The 20,640-nt window shown below is 37.8% G+C and overlaps 1 pseudogene across 1 annotated transcript in view; it reads right to left on the minus strand.

Annotated features, from left to right (window-relative positions):
* Window positions 1-20,640, minus strand: part of OFCC1 (orofacial cleft 1 candidate 1 (pseudogene)) — a 506,631-nt pseudogene that overhangs the window by 25,609 nt on the left and 460,382 nt on the right. The gene's annotated exons all lie outside the window — the stretch shown is intronic.

Raw genomic sequence — 20,640 nt, forward strand, 5'->3', positions numbered from 1 at the left:
ATGTGGCAATAATTAGTTGGCTACCCAAAAGCACCTTCCAATCCAACTGTCCCTTGCCCTCCTCCAACTATAGAGGCTGGAAAAGTCTAGATATTGCTTTTTCCAACTTCCCCTTGTAATGAAGAGTGGGCACATGACCCAGTTGTGGACCATGAGATGCAAGGGGAATGTTGCTGAAAGGATTCTGAGAAAGTGAATCCTCTCCCTAGCAGAAGGGAAAACACAAATAAGTTCACTCCCCACTAGCTCCTCTTTCCCTTTGAATGTGATCTTGTTATTCAGAGCTCGTCAAATCATGAGGGTCAAAGGAGAGAATCATGGAGAGGCTGAGCCAGAATGCTGACACAGCCATGCCATAGAAAGAATACCAGCAACTGCCTGCTTATCAACTCCTTGTTGCCTGAGAAAAATGGACTTCTCATCATTTAGGCCATTGGTATTTGGCTTTCCTTTTATTTGCAATTTGAAAGTATTATTTACTTATACTGACTGCCGTAATACATTGAATTCCTAAAACCCAGCAAGACCTAGAATAGGAATTGGCATTAAATAAAAATCTACTGCGTAAACAAAACTAAAGAGAGTTGAAAAATATAAGAAAGCAGAATACAGCCATCATCATGTTTGCCTTGATGGAGTCACTCAAGTCACAAAGCCAGGAAACCAAAGGAACTAAGTTTCTGCTAGTTTTGTTTTAAATATTCAGGATGGCCTTTCAGTTGAATGGCAAAGGTAAAAGAATAATTGAATTATTTATTGATTTAGATGCTGGAGTTGGTGCTATGTGTGTGTGTTTCGTAGGCGACAGAATGATTATTAAATGCACACTGCACATATGGGCAGCAAGTGTCATTTAGAGAGATAGCTGTGAGATTTGCTAGCAAAATATTTCTCAGCAAAACCGCTCTGTGTGTGTATGAGTGTGTGTGACTGTGTGTGTGTGTATGTGTTCAGAAGCAATTCACAGCACTAGGATTGCATCTGCCTGGAGGCAATCACAGACAACGCACACACAAATACATTCAGAAACATGGGGAAAATCTGTTTTTATGTGAAATGTTACATTTCCCATACTATTCTTCATAACCGCACATTAATTATTAGGTCCTACTTGGTAAAAACAAAACAAAACACTCAATATGTTATTCAGGAGAACTCTGTATTAAATGGAAAAAAAGGATTAGAATATGATGTGAGAAAGTGAATACTTAAATGCCTTCTAAATTAGCTCTGAATGGAAACATCTAATACTAAATTAGGAAATTAAAAATTCCTGAATGTCGGGGATTCTCAAAATGAAGGGAAACTGCAATAACCCCTCTGTAAAGCAAATCAAAATAGAACTACCCCCAGGGATAAAAGCCACAGTGAGAATTTGAACTCAAGTCCTATGAAGCCAGAAGGCAACACCGCCTTTCTCCAATGGTAAAGAGCCACATAGACGAATAGTAGCTGAGATGTCTGAATTCATCTTCTAGAATCTTTGAGTACATTTAGAAATTAATTTCCATTTATATAGCAATTGATCAGATAGTTTTAAAAATAGCTCATCATCCAGTGTCCTGAAGTCATGAGCAAAGCTTGTGAAAAATAAAAATCCTCTTGTTTTCCTTCAAGAGTGTCACAACAGTCTTTTCATTTATTTTCAGAAAGCAGCAGACAGAGAATAAGGGCAGATTGCCAAATATGAGACTAGGGATGTCCTTGAAGACAGCCTAAACCAAAACAAACACAAAAACAAACATGTCTACAATTAAAAGACAGTAACACTGCATTACAATTAGTTGTCTCAGGAAGTAAAGATGTTTTCAGTTAACTGAATGGGTAACAATTACTTGGATTATTGTCATACTTAAAATGTCAGCGTTAAATGATTGCTTTAAGCACATAATAATAAATTCTGCATTCTTAAGTGGCAAATACAACAAAGCCAAATATAGAGAACGTTGTTACTGGAAGCAAAATTAAGCATTAACAAAAACCTGCAACACACATTTTTAAAACAGAGGGAACAAAAGAGGGATAGCTGGAGATAAACAAGGATTGTTCTGATATTCACCACTTGCCTTAGAGTTAGGAACGGGTCAAAAACTCATGGAGAAAACCTGTTTGAGGCACGCCCACCATTTCAGAAGTAAACACATAAGGAGGGATGACTACAGAGAATTGTATAGAACCTTCAAGACCTCTTCCTGGAAATATAGGTTAATTATAGTATTTAGGAAAATAGCATTGCTTAATTTCACACCTGCGATTAAATCCAACATGATTTCCTGGGATATGTTACAATCACATCGTAAGTCCTTGCAAACCATATTTTTCCCGTGTCGCTGTTAATTGCAGAGGATTAACAAATAACAAGTGCCATTTGCTTACACTGCCACTGTCAGCAGCATATCTCTCCTTTTCTCCAATATACGTTCTTACTTCCTTTTGAATCACCAAGTCCCCCAAACAAACCTAAAGCTCTCAGTGATTCAGCTGAGGCAAGTTCATCCATCCTGTAAGCCATGCCACCTGAAAACAATACCACAGAGCAGGAAGTTAGATCTAGCTGCAAAATTGTGGGAAGGGTTAGTTCTTCCCTTTGGAAGTTAGAGTTTAATTGGACGTATTAGATATTCTTCTATTCATCACCCATGACTTAACTGCACTGATTTTCTGTACTGATAACAATGGAGCACAAATACAATGGACTCTGTCCTTCCCCTTCTGCGAGGAGAGAAGACATACCACAGCCCTGTTGTTAATTGTCTAGTTGGAAAGTTCTAAAAGGTATGGAGCGGATAAGAGGCCACTTGTAGCTGGAAATAAATGTTTAAGGACCATCTGCTGGGAAAAATGGTTTGGGAGATGGACTCTGAAGGACTGGTAGGATTTGGGCTGGCAAAAGTGTAAGAGTCTGAGGATTATATAACAATGTGAAAGAATCCAAGAAGAGGGACATGGCAGAGTGACAAGGCAACCTTAGCTGCCTTCCATCTTTCTTCACAGAGAGAGGAAATATTTCCCTCCTAAAAAGGCCTTGAGCAATAAGTAAATTTTTAAAAAGACTCACTTGCTCTTTGTTGTCAATATCCAGAATTATATACGTCTCAAAAAGAAAATAAAGAAGAAAAAGCTAATCTATTCTTTCTGCTTAGACAAAAATATAATGTTTTATATTGGGCCAAGCTATTAAGGTACTTCTCACTCAGAATTTGTACACCTAACACAGCTGATAAGAGCTTCCAAGCTCAGAACTTGAAGGAAAATCTATAATTTCCTATTATTATCATTCTTATATTCCATTCAAGATTAGACTTTCTTTGAAAAGTATGATTTAATAAACAAACAAGCAAATCAGACAATCACACCAAATGCTGAACCCAGAAAGCATTATGTGCACTTCATCATAATTCAGGACACACATGAGTGACTAAAGGTTGTGGTACCATAATGCCTATCAGTAGACCATTCTGAAATTGGTCCACTGAAATAATGACTCAAAAATTGTGGTAAAGTTTAAATATGCGCCCTGCCACAGGCAGCATGAGTGTCACCTCATGTCATCACAATTTATTTGTGCTGGGTTCCAAAACAGTAAGAATATGGAAACAATAATTGGAATTGTCTTTTCAAAGGCCTTTCAACTTGTTTGCTTCCATAGTCTAAAGATTGTGGATTTTAGCTTTAGTGGGCAATAGGTTTCAAAGCAGCTAGCTATTTTCCAGCCATGAGGAATGAGATAGATTACTTTGTCTGAAGGGTAACTTTATCTACTTTTCAAAAACAGGAATAACACATTCCTGAAAAAGTTTCTTAAGAGGGAAAATTTGGGAGACACATAGCTATACTGAGTCAATGCCACCTTATCATAATAGCAAAATAATTGAATCACTACTTACCCATTTAATAAACATTAACGGAGTGTCCACAAGATATAAAGAAGACAGAGTGAGCATGTTTACAAGGGGACCTGAATCCAAAGTACTTAAAGCATCTTCCAGCTGCCTGTGCTAAAAGTGAGGAGATAGCCAAACACTCCACAGTGTGCTTTTTGAATGTTTCTTTTACACTATTTTTCTACTAATTTCTAACATAGGGAGAACTTCATTAGATAGTCACCCAACTAATGAGGAAAAGGAGAATACGTTAAATGTTGTTGAAACAATATCCATAACCTGTTCTAAGTCTATAACATTCCTCAGACTTCTCTTCCGGAACCATGTACAAGTAAATGTGCTATTTTAATTATTAAATAAGGAAAATAGGGCAAATTTAACATAAACCAAGGTTGTTTTATTGTAACTGCTGTGAATATTAATATTAGAAGAAAGAATTATTAATGCATCTATTTAGACCTTAGGGTCCAATTTCTTTTAAACGCTTTTGTATAATGAAAAAGTAAGGCCAATTGTTTGGGGAATCAGGCTACCCTGGGAAAATACTTCCTTTCCATTTAACAGTTATTATTTTTAAAAAATTCATTAAAACCGTTTATCTGATTGGCACTATCCTAGGCACTAAATTGATCAGCGAAAATTACATTTTTAAAACCAGGGTATTTTAAATAATGGATTTTTAGAATGTTTTGAGAATTTTTATATATTTCAAGAAACCAAATGCTTATTTTTTCTAGAAATTGCACAACCTAGAATAAGTCTTAAGCATTTACTGGAAGACCGCAAGAGTGTCACTTAAATAAATATCAAAGCAACGTGTCCTCACGAGAAGTTGAGGCCTGAGATTTATTTGAATCCGCTACTTTAAAAAATCCAGAAACCATTATAGTCAAGAAATTCAAGTATTACTCTTCTCTTCTCTTCTCTTTTGTCTTCTGCCATTTAATGAAGAGCAGGGAGCCAAACGCCACCAGGCACTAATGCTGGCATGGCCCATTCTAGGCCAATAAGTTGCCAAGAAATGTTCTCTGGACACTGGCATTTGCATCCAGCACTACAAAACCATACTGTAGTGCCACTGTATCTATATACAAGATGAATGAATAAATCCGCAATAGATGAAGTACTAAAAGCATCTAATTTCCAATGCAGTGCTTCCAGCAACAACTGAAATTAAAAAACTTCTAAAACACAACTATAGAACATGCTATCTTGTTGTGAGTGCACTGAAGCAAAGGTTAACAATAAAATAAAAGAAGGAATGAATATGCATCTATAGCTGGGATGTCGTGCCTGCCTGATAGGCCTTGGCAACAACCATTGTATTTGTCAGATCCCATATAAGTTTGGAAGGTTCATGGTTTTAGAGCAAGGAAACGTTTTTCCATTTTTTTTAGTGAGACTCAAACTGGAAATGCCAAACTGCAATTTCCATTAAAGACACTTATGACTATGTCAGATTGTCTGCCAAGTTCTATACCTTGAACAAGTATAGGTAAACAGGAATTCAGTTCAGTAGGACCAGGGTCCATATGTCTACTAGTTTACATACTCCTACATTGGGGAAACATTAAGAATAAAGTCTGCATTCCATAAAAACTGTTGCCATAGTTTGGAATTTGTTTCATGCTTTCCTGTGCTGGGGGTCAACTTGGAAAAGCTAAGAGCTACATTTCCTAGAATCTCCTTCCCTATAGGGAAGAGTTTTGGGTTGCAATCACTCAAAAACAGAGCCAGTGTATTCATTAAAAAGCCAGAGACTCCTGTTAAGCCCTCATAGAACCTCCACACCCATGGAGTAAAGACTTCATAGGCTGGGCGCGGTGGCTCACACCTGTAATCCCAGCACTTTGGGAGGCCGAGGTGGGCGAATCACGAGGTCAGGAGATCGAGACCATCCTGGCTAACATGGTGAAACGCCATCTCTACTAAACAAAATACAAAAAATTAGCCAGGCATGGTGGCGGGTGCCTGTAGTCCCAGCTACTTGGGAGGCTGAGGCAGGAGAATGGCGTGAACCCAGGAGGCGGAGCTTGCAGTGAGCCAAGATCACATCACTGCACTCCAGCCTGGGCAACAGAGCGAGACTCCGTCTCAAAAAAAAAAAGACTTCATAGAACATCCATTCTCATGGAGTAAAGCCTTCATAGGACATCCATTCTCATGGAGTAAAGCCTTCATAGCACATCCACTCCTGTTGAGTGAAGCCCTCACAGAATATCCATTCCCGATGAGTGACACCCTCATAGAATAGCCATTCCTGTTGAGTCAAGCCACCATAGAATATCCATTCCCATTGAGTAAAGCCCTCACAGAACATCCATTTCCACTGAATGAAGCCCTCATAGAACATCCATTTCCATTGAATGAAGTCTTCATAGAACAGCTATTCCCATTGAGTGAAGCCCCAATAGAACATCCATTCCCACTGAGTGAAGCCCCCATAGAACATCCATTCCCATTGAGTGAAGCCCCCATAGAACATCCATTCCCATTGAGTGAAGCACCCATGGAACATCCATTCTTGTCGAGTGACGATCCCATAGAACATCCATTCCCATTGAGTGAAGCCCCAATAGAACATCCATTCCCACTGAGTAAAGCCCCAATAGAACATCCATTCTCATTGAGTGAGGCCCCATAGAACATCCATTCCCACTGAGTGTGGCCCCCATAGAACATCCATTCCCACTGAGTGAAGCCCCCATAGAACATCCATTCTCATTGAGTAAAGCCCCCATAGAACATCCATTCCCACTGAGTGAAGCCCCCATAGAACATCCATTCCCATTGAGTGAAGGCCTCATAGAATACCCATTCCCATTAAGGGAAGCCCCCATAGAATATCCATTCTCACTGAATGAAGCCTTCATAGAACATCCATTCCTATTGCATGAAGCTCTCATAGAACATCCATTCCCATTGAGAGAAGCCTGCCTAAAACATCCATTCCTGTTGAGTGAAGCCTTCATAGAACAGCCATTGCCATTGAGTGAAGCCCTCATAGAAGAGCCATTCCCATTGACTGTCAACTGATTGGAGTCATGATTCATCCCAGGCAAGACCCACAGAAGAACTGTCCAACAAGCTCAGCTCCAACTGCTGCCCCAAGAATTGGGAGCCAATAAAATAGTGGATTTTTAATGCAGTAATAGATAACTGAATTTTTAATAATGAGATCAAAAAATGGCTGTCATAACAAAAATCTTAAACCTGTGGCATTGGCTCTGGTAGGAGATGGGTTGTGGGTGAAGCATACAGAAGTGGCAAAAAAACTTTTGGGAAAGGGAAAAAGCAGTGAGAAACCGCTAGAAGATACCAGTCCCCTATAGTATATAGAGGTGGAAAGATTTGAAAAATGATCACCTGTAGTAACTTGGAAAGTAGAAAATATGCATAAATAACTTGCAGATCTGGATAAGAAGAACTTCGGAGAGAATGCGAAATTACTGGTTTGGTACATCTGGCTGTGTATGACAAAGTGCTGTAAGAGAGACATAAGCTAAGGAAAAAAACTATTCAGTTTGGAAATACTGAGGGGCCAAGACTTCCTGGGTTGGGAAATAAAACTCTTTCTCATCTTATATGTCTCTACAGCCCACAAAAGTTGTCCCAGCAAGAAATAGCTCCAGAATAAAGAATAAAGGTATGGCTATAAAATCTTTTTTAAGACCTAAGAATAACTTAAGAAAGTGCCTAGTAGATCCTCTCAGTAGGGCAAAGGGCCTCTATGAATCTTAAGAAGGTTGTCCCACAGCATCCTGACCTGCCACCCAAAGTAGAACAGGACTATTTCCAAAATAATGGTGTGTGGCTTTTACAAGAGAGTGTAATAGAATATATATACATTTGATGTGGCACATGAACTTTTTCAGGGACTTTTGCCAGCATGGTAAAAGCATAGAACAGAGACACTTCCAAATGGACACGGCTTCTGGGCCCCCAACTTTCTATGGGCAGGAAGCAGGGTAAGAAGGCTACTTAGCTGCAAACACGGGGAATTTCTTATCAAACAAGAAAGGTGTCTCAGAGACTGGAACTAAGAGCCTGGAGGTGAAGCTAAGAGCAGAAGGGGACAATGGCCTAGGGAACTACTTTCTGCAAATATGACTTAACCCCAACCAACACATTTTCCCTGCCCGTGAAATAGGAGACCTTAAAGCAGCTTGTGCCCAGCTGGATTTCAGAATTGCTATGGAACAGCGATTGATACAAGCTTCTTGCTCCTCACCTTTTGAAGAGAGTATCTATTATGATTACCTGGCTAAGTGTGTGTAATGGGGTCAGGGGTGAAATACAGATAACAAGTCCTTTTAGGACACTGATCCATGGATCAAGAGGAGCCATATCTGAGTAGCTGTATCTAAGAAGCTCAATTCAGATCTGCTCCTGATTTAGATGATGAGATCCTGGATGATTTGACCCTAATGTCATAATGGAATAAGACTCCTGAGGAGAAGGTAGTGCATCTTTATGTAGAAGGGATGTAAATAATTATGGCCAAAGAGTGGACAGAAAGTGATTGTTTGCAATCGGTAATGGATACATCTCTTAAGCCTATAAACTTACATGTGTATAATTCCAGGATCATATGCTAATGGTTGAGGATACAATAGTAAGAAAAAATAGATGTATTTTCTTTTATCGCAGAGTTTCAGTCTTGTAAATATAGAGAAATATTAATAAAATTATCAATAAAAGTAAATTGCACCAATGGTAGACATTACAAAGAAGAAGTGCATGATATTATGAGAATCAAAACAAAGGCTTAGGGAAAATGCACATCTGAAGAATAAGTAAAAAAGTAACAAGGCCAAAAGGAGAGAAAAGAGTTTCTAAGCAGAGGAACCACCTGGCAAACCCACTCTGGAGGGAAGAGTCCAAAAGCTTATTAAGAGTCTAATTGTGATGTTTTGAAAGAACCTAAGCATTAACAGGCAGGTAAAGTTAAGTACAAATACTAGCAGTAGGCGGTCTTAGTCCTAAAGCTTGAATAAAACTAATCCCGAAAATGATTCAAGGCAAAGCAAATAACAGAAAACCATTAGCATAGTTCCTGAAAAGTTATATTTTGAAAGACTTGAATCCTTCTCTGTTAAAGTAAACAAAACATGAATCCCTGAACAGAAGAATGCAGGACCCCTGAATATAGATTGAGCCTTGGCATTTTCCAAAATATTATTTACCAGCCCATTTCTTACTAAGATAAAAAGCATATCCAATGAGCTGGCAAGATCAATCTCCATAATTATTACTCAGAGACATATATTTCATAAATAAAAAATGAAGTGCTTATATAAGAAAGAACTGCATTATTTGTTTCAACATTTTGGTTTGTAATTTTTTTTCAGACGAATAGACTCTTGTATGTAGAGATTAACTGTCTATGCAAAGACTTCTAATTGATTGCTGTTGAGTGATCCATGTGTAATGTTTACAATGACCCATGGGAAGCTCCTCATCGATGAGATTGAATGGAAGTATGTCACAGAAATTTCCATTCTGTCCATTAAGAAAAGGAATTTTTACTAATTGTCAAGAAGCATATCCACAGGTCATGTTTGAAGTAATCAACTCCTCCCAGAAGGCAAAGATTTATATCAAAGTGGAGGACTAAAAGTCAATTAACAGAAGGTTCAGATTCTACACAAGGAAGTGCCATCTTGACAAAATATGACACTCATAATCCATAATGTGGAAATGTTACCACATGATGTATCATATTGGATTCAAGTGATCATTATTAGAAACCAAGAAGTTACACAATTTTTGAAATGTACAAGAAAAATGCCTAAATATACTGAATGTTAGCAATAGTGTTTCTAAAAATTAAAAGGGGAAGGAAGGAGGAATTCAACCCCTTCTCCCTGCCTCACTTAATGAGCTGGGACATCTCATCTCATTTTCTTCTGTTCTCAGAATGGGATTTACAGTATCAGCTCCCTTGGTTCTCAGGTCTTTGGACTCATACTTAGTTACATCCCCGGCTTTCCTGGTTTTTAGTTTACAGATAGCAAGTGGTAGGACTTCCCAGCCTCCATGGCTGCATGAACCATATATATATATACACACACATACATACATATGTTTGTTGTTCCCCTCTTTCTGCCAATGTGTTCTCATTATTCAGCTCCCACTTATAACTGAGAACATGTGGTATTTGGTTTTCTGTTCCTAAGGATAATGGCCTCCATCTCCATCCATATTGCTGAATAGTACATGATTTCATGCTTTCTTATGGCTGTGCAGTATTCCATGGTGTGTCTGTACCACATTTTCTTTATCCAGTCTACCTTTGATGGGCACTTAGATCTGTCTTTGCTATTGTGAATAGTGCTGTAATGAACATACATGTGCATGTATCATTGTGGTAGAACAATTTATATTCCATTGAATATATACCCAGAAGTGGAATTGCTGGGTCGAATGGTAGTTCTGTTTTTAGTTTTTTCAGGAATCGCCACACTGCTTTCCACAATGATTGAAATAATATACACTCCCACCAGCAGTGCATAAGTGTTCCCTTTTCTCCGCAACCTTGCCGACATCTGTTGTTTATTGCCTTTTTAATAATAGCCATTCTGACTGGTGTGAGATGGTACCTCGTTGTGGTTTTGATTTGCATTTCTCTAACGATTGGTGGTATTGAGCATTTTTTCATGTTTGTCGGTCACTTGTGTGTCTTCTTTTGAAAAACGTCTGTTCATGTCCTTTGCCTAGTTTTTAATGGAGTTGTTTTTTGCTTGTATGTTTGCTTAAGTTCCTTATTGATTCTGAACATTAGACCATTGTCAGCTATATAGTTTCCAAATACTTTTTCCCATTCTGTAGGCTGCCTGTTTATTCTGTTGATAGTTTCTTTTGCTGTATGGAAGCTCTTTAATTTAATTAGGTTCCATTTGTCAATTTTTGCTTTTGTTGCAATCGCTTTTGGCATTTTCACCATAAAATCTTTGCCAGTTCCTGTGTCCAAAGTGGTGTTTCCTACATTACCTTCCTGGGTTATTATAGTTTCAGGTTTTACATTTAGGTCTGTAATCCATCTTGAGTTGATTTTTTATGTGTATAAAAAAGGAGTCCAGTTTCAGCCTTCTGCATATAGCTAGCCAGTTGTCCCAGCACCCTTTTTGAATAGGGAGTCCTTTCCCCATTGCTCGTTTTTGTCAGCTTTGTCAAAGATCAGGTGGTTGTATTTGTGAGGTCATATTTCTGGGTTCTGTATTCTGTTCAATTGGTCTGTGTGTCTGTTTTTGTACTAGTACCATGCCATTTTGGTTACTTAGCTTTGCAGTGCAGTTCAAAGTCTGGCAGTGTGATTCCTCTGGCTTTGCTCTTTTTGTTTAGGATTGCAATGGCTATTCACACTCTCGTTTGGTTCCATATGAACTTTAAAATAGTTTTTTTCTAGTTATGTGAAGAACATCATTGGTAGTTTGATAGGAATAGTGATGAATCTGTAAATTGCTTTAGGCAGTATGGCCACTTTAATGACATTGATTCTTCCTATCCCAGAGCATGGAATGTTCTTCTATTTGTTTGTGTCATCTCTAGATTTCTTTCAGCAGCCTTTTGTAATTCTCATGGTAGAGATCCTTCACCCCCTTGATTAGCTGTATTCCTTGGGATTTTATTCTTTTTGTGGCAGTTGTGAATGAGATTGCATTCCTGATTTGCCTCTCGGTTCAGGTGTTGTTAGTGTATAGGAATGCTAGTGATTTTTGCACATCCCTTTTGTATCATGAAACATTGCTGAAGTTGCTTATCACCTCAAGAAACTTTTGGACAGAGACTATGGGGTTTTCTAGATCTAGAATAATGTTGTCTGCAAACAGGGATAGTTTGACTTTCTCTCTTACTATTTGGATGCCCTTTATTTCTTTCCCTTGCCTGATTGCTCTGGCCAGGACTTCCAATACTATATTGGATAGGAATAGTAAGGTGGCATCCTTGTCTTGTTCCAGTTTTCAAGGGAAATGCTTCCAGCTTCTGCCCTCAGTATGACGTTGGCTGCGGCTTTGTCCTAGATAGCACTTATTATTTTGAATTATGTGCCTTCAATACCTACTTTGAGAGTTTTAACATGAAAGGATGTTGAATTTTATTGAAAGCCTTTTCTGCATCTATTGGAATGATCATGTGGGTTTTGTTTTTAGTTCTATTTACGTGATGAGTCATATTTATTAATTTGCCTATGCTGAACCAACCTTGCATCCCAGGGATAAAACCTAGTTGATCGTAGTGGATCACCTTTTTGGTGTGCTGCTTGATTCCGTTTACTAGTATTTTGTTGAAGATTTCTGCATCTATGTTAATCAAGAATATCAGCCTGAAATGTTTTATTGTTGTTGTTGTTGTGTCTCTGCCAGGTTTTGGTGTTAAGATGCTGCTTGCCTCACAGAATGAGCCAGGGATGAGTCCCTTCTTCTCAATTTTTTGGAATAGCTTCAGTAGGAATGGTACCAGCTCTTCTTTGTACATCTGGTACAAATTGTCTGTGAATCTATCCAGTCCTGGGCTTTTTGGGGGGTTGGTAGGTTACATATTACTGATTCAATTGCAGAGCTAATTATTGGTCTATTCAGGGAATTCCATTTCTCCCTGGTTCACTTGTGGGAGGATGTATGTGTCCAGGAATGTATCCAGTTTTTCTAGATTTTGTACTTCTTGTGCACTGAATTGTTCATAGCAGTCCCCAGTGGTTATTTATATTTCTGGGGGGGTCCGTGGTAATGTCCCCTTTGTCATTTTTATGTTTTTTGGATCTTCTCTCTTTGTTTTCTTTATTAGTCTAGCTAGCAGTCCATCTATCTTATTAATTTTTTCAAAAAAACAACTCCAGATTTGTTGATCTATTTTATGGTTTTTTGTGTCTCAATCTCCTCAGTTCAGCTTTGATTTTGGTTATTTCTCATCGTCTGCTAACTTTAGGTTTGTTTGTTCTTGCTTCTCTAGTTTTTCTAGTTGTGATGTAACATTGTTAATTTGAGATCTGTCTAACTTTTTGATGTGGGCATTTAGTGCTATAAATTACCATCTTAACATTGCCTTAGCTGTGTCTCAGAGATTCTGGTATGTTGTGTCTTTGTTCTTATTAGTTTCAAAGAAATTCTTGATTTCTGCTTAATTTCATTAGTTACCTAAGAGTTGTTTAAGAATACATTGTTTAATTTCCATGTAATTGTATGGTTTGGGGCAATTTTCTAGGCCTTGATTTTTATTTTTCATTTTGCTGTGGTCCAAAAGTATGGTTGACATAATTTCAGTTATTTTGAGTTTGTTGACGGTTGTTTTATATCCAACTGCACGGTCAATATTAGAGTATGTACCTTGTGGTGATGAAAAGAATGTATATTCTGTCGTCTTTGGGTGGAGAGTTCTGTAGATGTCTATTAGGCCCATTTGGTCAAGTATTGAGTTCAGGTCCTGAATCTCTTTGTTAATTTCCCACCTCAGTGATCTATCTAATACTACCAGTGGGGTTTTGAAGTCCCCCACTATTATTGTGTGTAAATCTAAGTCTCTTTGTAGGTCTCTAAGAACTTTCTTCAGGAATCTGGGTGCTACTGTGTCGGGTGCATATAGATTCGAGATAGTTAGGTCTTCTTGTTCAATTAAACTGTTTACCATTATGTAATACCCTTTTTTGTCTGTTTTGAACTGTATTGGTTTAAAGTCTGTTTGGTCTGAAATTAAAATTGCAACTCCCACTTTTTCTGTTTTTTATTTGCTTGGTAGATTTTTCTTCATTAGGGAGATTCTTACACAGCATGAGGGTAGAAGCACGATAACACGTAAGCCAGTCAAAATAGAAAATGAATGCCACATCCAGAATTATGACGTCACAAGATCTCATACTAAGTGAATGTTATGACTGTTAGGGAGAAAAAAAAAATCTCCTTTGAAAAGGATTAATATTCAAATGCCTCCCTCCCAGCCTTGAATGGAAACTTACTCACTCACCAGGTTGTGTGAGTTGAAATGAGAAATAGTCTATTTGCACTGCTACTTACTGCCTTACCACTGAACACAAAGTTAAAGATACAGCAGCATTTCACATGTGATGGAATAAAGAGACAAGCTCATTCATTCTTAGCATCACCTGTGATCATCCTCAACCCATTAATAAACTCCTTCTAGAGCGTCAGCTAATTATCTTAAACTCATTTGCAAGAATACAACAAATGTATTTTCAGGAACAGAGAAGAGTCTAGGAACAGAGATCTATTTCATAAAGTCTTAGGATCTGGGCTTTAATTTTTTTTGAAAAGTGTAGTAAAATTTTAAACTCATTTGTAAATCTACCTAAATGTCTTTCCAGGGAATGAAGAGGATATCACGAACACAAGTCTATTTCAAAAGCCTTATACATTTTGCTTTCAATTCTTTTAAAACCATAGTAAATATAAATTGAAACTAGCAGGCTAAGTATAAAAATAACACAGCCACTCACATTTGGCATTTCTTCCTTTTTAACAGAAATAGCATATTTGAAGCATAAGGTCAAAATGTCTTCCTTTATTTAAAGAAAATGTCAAAGATAACAGTAATTTAGGGATCAACGGGTAAACAATGCATAGCAAATTACATCAGTAACTAGTTAAAAGCCCTATAAAAATAACTTATCCTGTATTTTTAAGTAATGGGATTCATCAAGAACTTCTAAGACATCAAAATGCTGATTCACAAAAAAAATTCTTTAAAAAGAACCAAATAAACATCTCCGCAGCCCCCACACCCAAATTAACTTCTTGTTTAGATTGAAAGGTTAAAGACATGGCAGGACACTCTTGATGAGTTCCAATGAAGGTCACAACCTCAAGGCCACAGTAAGCTCATAATGTTTGACCTAGGAATTCCTTCCTAAATAGTTTTATCTTCCTAAATCAAGGAAAAGGAATCATCCACAAGGTGTTAAATTCTTGGCCTTTTATGGAGAAGGGTAGCTTGGATAAATTCTGCATTCAGTTACTTTTACATTAAACGGGATTTACTGGGAAGGAATGAGAGAATTTGACCAGTGGGGAATAAAGTGAGTAATTTTTATACTGATTTAAACAATGCCAAGTACTTTATGACCGAATAGCTGAAGAACAGCATTGTATAGCTCCTTAATTACCCTCACTTTTTCTTCCATACTTGTTGGGCAAAAGGAGAAAACATTAGCTAATAATTCAGTTCACAAGAACAAATGTGATTGCGCTGACTCATTAGGGCTTGTGGCCAGATATGTGTGAATGCTGAGTGCCTTGAGTTAGAGATAGTTGAGAATGAAGGGAAACCAAGAATGGACATGTGATGAATTCACTGCGACTTTGTACATTTATTTTTCCCAGATTAAAACTACTGTGAATCAGTTTGTTTTAATGAAAAGCACAATAACATATGGAGAAATAAGATGGATTTTCTCTTACCTAGATTCGTTTGACCAATAAATTAGTTATTAATAGCCTGTTAGCATGATACTGTTATCTGAGGCACTATAAATAAGAATTATATAATAGATTCAGGAAGTTAAAATCTCAAATAGGTATTACTGTTGTGCCCTCAGTTTCAACAATAGTGCCTCACTTATAGTATGTGTTCAGGAAATACTTGTTAAGTGGGTTCTGTCGCAGAGGAAACAACAGCAATATTTCTCAATACATAGACATTTTAACAAGAGAGACAGAAAGCAGTAATATCTGGAAAAATCAAAGAATTCTTGCTAAGACTGTTATATGAAAACTTTTCAAAAATGAAATGGCTAATGATTCATCCCTATGAATCACTAAGCATATATAGTCCCTTCCAATGTCTTATCGGGTGCAACTGGAAACCCAATTAAGCTGAGAAACTAAGATGTCTCCTAGTGTTGTAGAGAGAGACTCTTGCTTATCTAAGAAGAAATACATAATATGGCATTCTGATACCTAAAAAGGTGAGGGAGAACAGACCTTTCTAGAAATCCAAAAAGTAATATCCAGTATTATCTGTGGTACCCTATACCTGTATTATTCTATTCATTGGGGTTCCTATGAATCACTGGACATATATAGTCCCTTGCAATGTCTTCTTGGGTGCAACTGGAAACCCAACTAAGCTGGGAAACTAAATATTATGCATGTCTACCGATAGCAAAACTGAGAGCAAAGCATATATTTAATTTGATATAGGATGAAGAAACAAAGCGATTTGTCAATGTGTTTTATAAAGTGTTTTGTTTATCTTGATGCATGGTAGATGCATCTAGGACCCACGTCTTTGTCTCTTAGGATGAAAAGATTGGTTGTATTATGCACAACAGAGCTACAAGTCAATCTGTCTCTCCACCACATAGCTCAACAAACCCATCCCATTAGGGCCAGTTGGACATCCACCAGAACACCCTATGCATCGCCATACATTATGCCAACTCCATACACTATGCCAAGAGGACCTCCATGTACCTGGAAATGAATTCTCCTCTACAATGGATATCTTTGACATAGCTTCCAGGTGGATTACCCTCAGCAGTGGTACTGAGGGAGAACTGGAAAGCCCTTCCTCTCTAGCTTCTGACTATAACCCTGGTTGGGACCAGGAATCTTTAGGGCAGAATTAAATAGGAATAGACACTTGGCCCCAAGCCAGATACATAAGTGCTGGATGTTCCTGGTTGATGTAGAATTAGTTGATAAACATAAAGAACATAGCCCTACCATGAACTCCGAGATCTTAATTTGGCTGTAGAGAGGAGATAATGGTATGCTATATTGTATTCCAAGCCCACTTGGGATACGAAGAAGGAAATTCTCCATGTCTACATATTTTAAATTCATCTGGAACAAGGCAATACCTAACTAAATAACTGACACTCTTAAGAAAACTGTACATGACTTGAAAAGGCTGATTTTTTTTTTTTTGCAACTGGGAAAGTATTACAAAGAATTTGTTAGTCTACATAAATAAGACTTAATATTAATAAAAGACATATTGTGTGCTAGACACTTTCCTGTGTTCTTTGTAGAGACCCATTGAATCATTACTATATCCCTACAAGATAGATACTGTCATATGCCTTCAGAAACTGAGACAGAGGCTAAATTTGCTCAAGGACATTATTAATTGATAAGGCCAAGATTTAAATCCAAATAGTAAGTTGCATACCTTTGCTCTTAACCATTAAGCTAAGTCATATTTCTAGATTATAATGTCTCCAAGGGATATCCCACAAAAGTATAGAAGAAGAAAACCACCTCAAACCAATGATGGTTGTGAGTTAAACCTCACATTTTGTGTAATTATAGTTGGTACATATGAAACATACTGTGTTTTGTTCAACTTGTGGTTGCAAATGTTTGGTTGGTTAAAGTATCATTTTTAACTCTGAGGGTTGATGATGCTTTTAGTTCTTGAAAAGAAATAGCATGTGTTGATTTGATAACAGTATTTATTCTATAAAATCTGTACCCAAATATATTGAGGAAGTCATTAAAAAAATATTCCTTCAAAACCAACTAGATAAAAGATGCAATAATCTCTAGTTTGCTCCATGCTTTCTAAAGCTAGCTTTCTAAACTCAGTGGCTTTAAAATCCCTTGGCCTGGTTCATCACCAGCTAGGTACCCAACTCCAAAACCAATTCTGGTCACAAGAAGGGGATTACAGCAAAAGTCTGATAAAAGATGTCCCCTGGCATTGCATAGAGATTGTTGCTAAGGGCTCCATTCTGTGGTTTTATCCGCTTCTCTGGTAACTGTTTCCTACCAAGCAAAACTCTTTATACTCTGCCTCTTTAGTGAATCACTATCCTGTCTTAAAGCTCCATCTCTGGTGAATGAAGCTCTTACTTATTCCTGTAGTTTCTTTATGATAAGGTTGCTGATATTTTATAGTTGCATCATTGTGCAAAGAGGACAGGAGTTAGAGTTAGAAGTACACTGTTGGTAGGAGTGTAAATTAGTTCAACCATTGTGGAAGACAGTGTGGCGATTCCTCAAGGATCTAGAACCAGAAATACCATTTGACCCAGTAATCCCATTACTGGGTATGTACCCAAAGGATTATAAATCATGCTACTAGAAAGACACATGCACACCTGTGTTTATTGCAGCACTGTTCACAATAGCAAATACTTGGAACCAACCCAAATGCCCATCAATGATAGACTGGATAAAGAAAATGTGGCACATATACACCACGGAATACTACGCATCCATAAAAAAGGATGAGTTCATGTCCTTTGCAGGGACATGGATGAAGCTGGAAACCATCATTCTCAGCAAACTAACATAGGAACAGAAAACCAAACACTACATGTTCTCACTCATAAGTGAGAGTTGAACAATGAGAACATGTGGACACAGGGAGGGGAACATCACACACTGGGGCCTGTCAGGGGGTGGGGGGCTAGGGGAGGGAAAGCATCAGGAGAAATACCTAATGCAGATGATGGGTTGATGGGTGCAGCAAACCACCATGGCATGTGTATACCTATGTAACAAACCTGCATGTTCTGCACATGAATCCCAGAACTTAAAGTATAATAATAAAAAAACAAGTCCTGGAACTAGCGCCTAGATTTGATAGTTGTTAGCTGAGTAAACTTTAGTGAGTTACTTAATCTCCCTTACTTTTAGTTCCTACACCTGCAAGATAGTAGTGCTCATAATAATGGACTTGGTAGCTTTGAGTAAACTACCAATACCTTCAGATTAGAAGTTACATCTGATGCATTTTTGTGTCCCTAGCAGCCAGTCCATAGTCAGTGTTCCTAAGTGAGTGTATGCTGTGTTCATACATGAGAGAATAAACAAATAATCTTCATCTTGGTGCTGTGGTTCTTCCTAAAACAAAGTTCCAGACTTTCTCAGTCTGGCATCTCCTGTTGGCTCCCAATTCTTGATTTACCCTGACATGCAAAGGTAAATCAGTATTGCTAAAAGTTTTTGGAGCTGGGTTCCATCTCACCAGGTAGTATGGAGAACTGAAGACCTGATCTGATATTTTCTGTTTGTTTAATTTTTTCTCCTGCATTATCCCCTACTTTTAAAACAAGCAAATCTCAAATCATCATCATAAAAATTAAATTCTGCTCTGATGGACAGCTTTGTTTCTTTTGCATTAAAGAGTCAGCCACCACTAAAACCTCTAAGGCAATCTTCTGGGCAAATGCTGATGGTTGTACTGAAATACATGAGCAAACAGGCTCGGAGATGGGCTGATGGTTTCCTTACTAGAGCCACATTGCATTATGAGTTGGCAGAAAGTTAGGTCAGATACAGCCAATACCTGGAAAAGTCACAGAAGCATCCAAATACTGTTGTATATAGCAGAAAACCAAAGTCTGGAACTGAATTCCCCCCATACTATGCACTCCAACAACACACAGTTGGAGAAGGAGACAGCAGCCCTCATTACGCTTGCGAGTGCATCCTCGGGAAACATGGCACCAATGTAGCATCAAAACAGAGATGAAAATCCATGTCTCCTAAGCTGGCGTGTCCATGCAATTACCTTAATGCATCCCAGATTTGAACCCATCATTGATGTTCCCATTAGTTACTGGACCGATTCCACTAGCACCACCAAAGCACCATTCTCCAAGTCAAATGGCAGTGTCAAATCTCCACCAGCAGGCCTTGGAGTGTGTCCAGCTTTCAGATGTTGAAGCAAATCTAATCAAATGACAGCACTTTGGGGAAATGGTTTGTCAGCAGAATGGATGAAAAGGCAATTCTACAAGATTTTATGATAATCTACAGAGGGTAAAAAGGACAGAAAGTGATAGAGCAAGATATTGCAACTCCAGCAAATACTTACTGAGCCACTGCATGTGTCTGTCATTGTTCTCAGCGATACTGGGCTTCAAAACATGACAGTGCACAACCTTTGCCTTCAAGGAGACTGCAACATAGAAGGGAACTGCTTCTAGAGAAGGTGAAGAGGAAGGACCACTTAAGAACTTTGAGGTTAAAAGAACTAGATGAAAATCACAGCTCTGACTCTTACTTGCTTAAGTTATGAGGCAAATTATTTAAATTTCTAAGCGTCTGCTTCCTCCTCTATGTAATAATAATAATAATAATAATAATAATAACAACATACTCTTTAGTAGACAGAAAAGGGAAAACTTGTTTGCTATATGGATTACAAATAAAACTGGGTTAAGCGAACTCCAAATGGATGGGTAGAGTAAATGTATAGTTAATAGCAAATTGTAACCTTAGAAGAAAAAAAGTAAGAGACTATCTTTATGATCAAGAGTGCACATCCTGCACATGTACTCCGGAACTTAAAATAAACGAATACAGAAGAAAGTTTTTTCAACATAACTCCAAAAAAACATAAACCACAAGGTGAAAATGTTATGACAACATTGCAATTAAGGGTATCAATTTAATAAGAGTCAACAAAGAAAAATTGGCAGATGAGTAATTAAAAAAAGGTACTGAATAGGCAGATGACAGATTGAGATAAGATATTGGCAAAATTGGACATCATTAAGGTACAAATACCTAGAATTCACTAGAAAGGTCCACATATTAACAAGAAAAATACAGAAAGCTCAATAGAAAGCAGACAAAATATGTGAACAAACTACTCTCAGAAGGAGAAACCTCAGTGGCAGTAAGTATTGAAAGAACACTCAAATATATTTGTAATTAGAGAAAGTAAATTAAAACAATGAGCCATCATTTGAAATGCATCATATTGTCAAAAATTAGAAAACTGGATCATGCTACATGTAGGAGAGTATGTGAGAAAACAGGATCCTCATGCACCATCGGTGGGTGAA

The sequence above is a fragment of the Homo sapiens genome, chromosome 6 (assembly GCF_000001405.40).
Source record: "Homo sapiens chromosome 6, GRCh38.p14 Primary Assembly".
Lineage (NCBI taxonomy): Eukaryota > Metazoa > Chordata > Mammalia > Primates > Hominidae > Homo > Homo sapiens.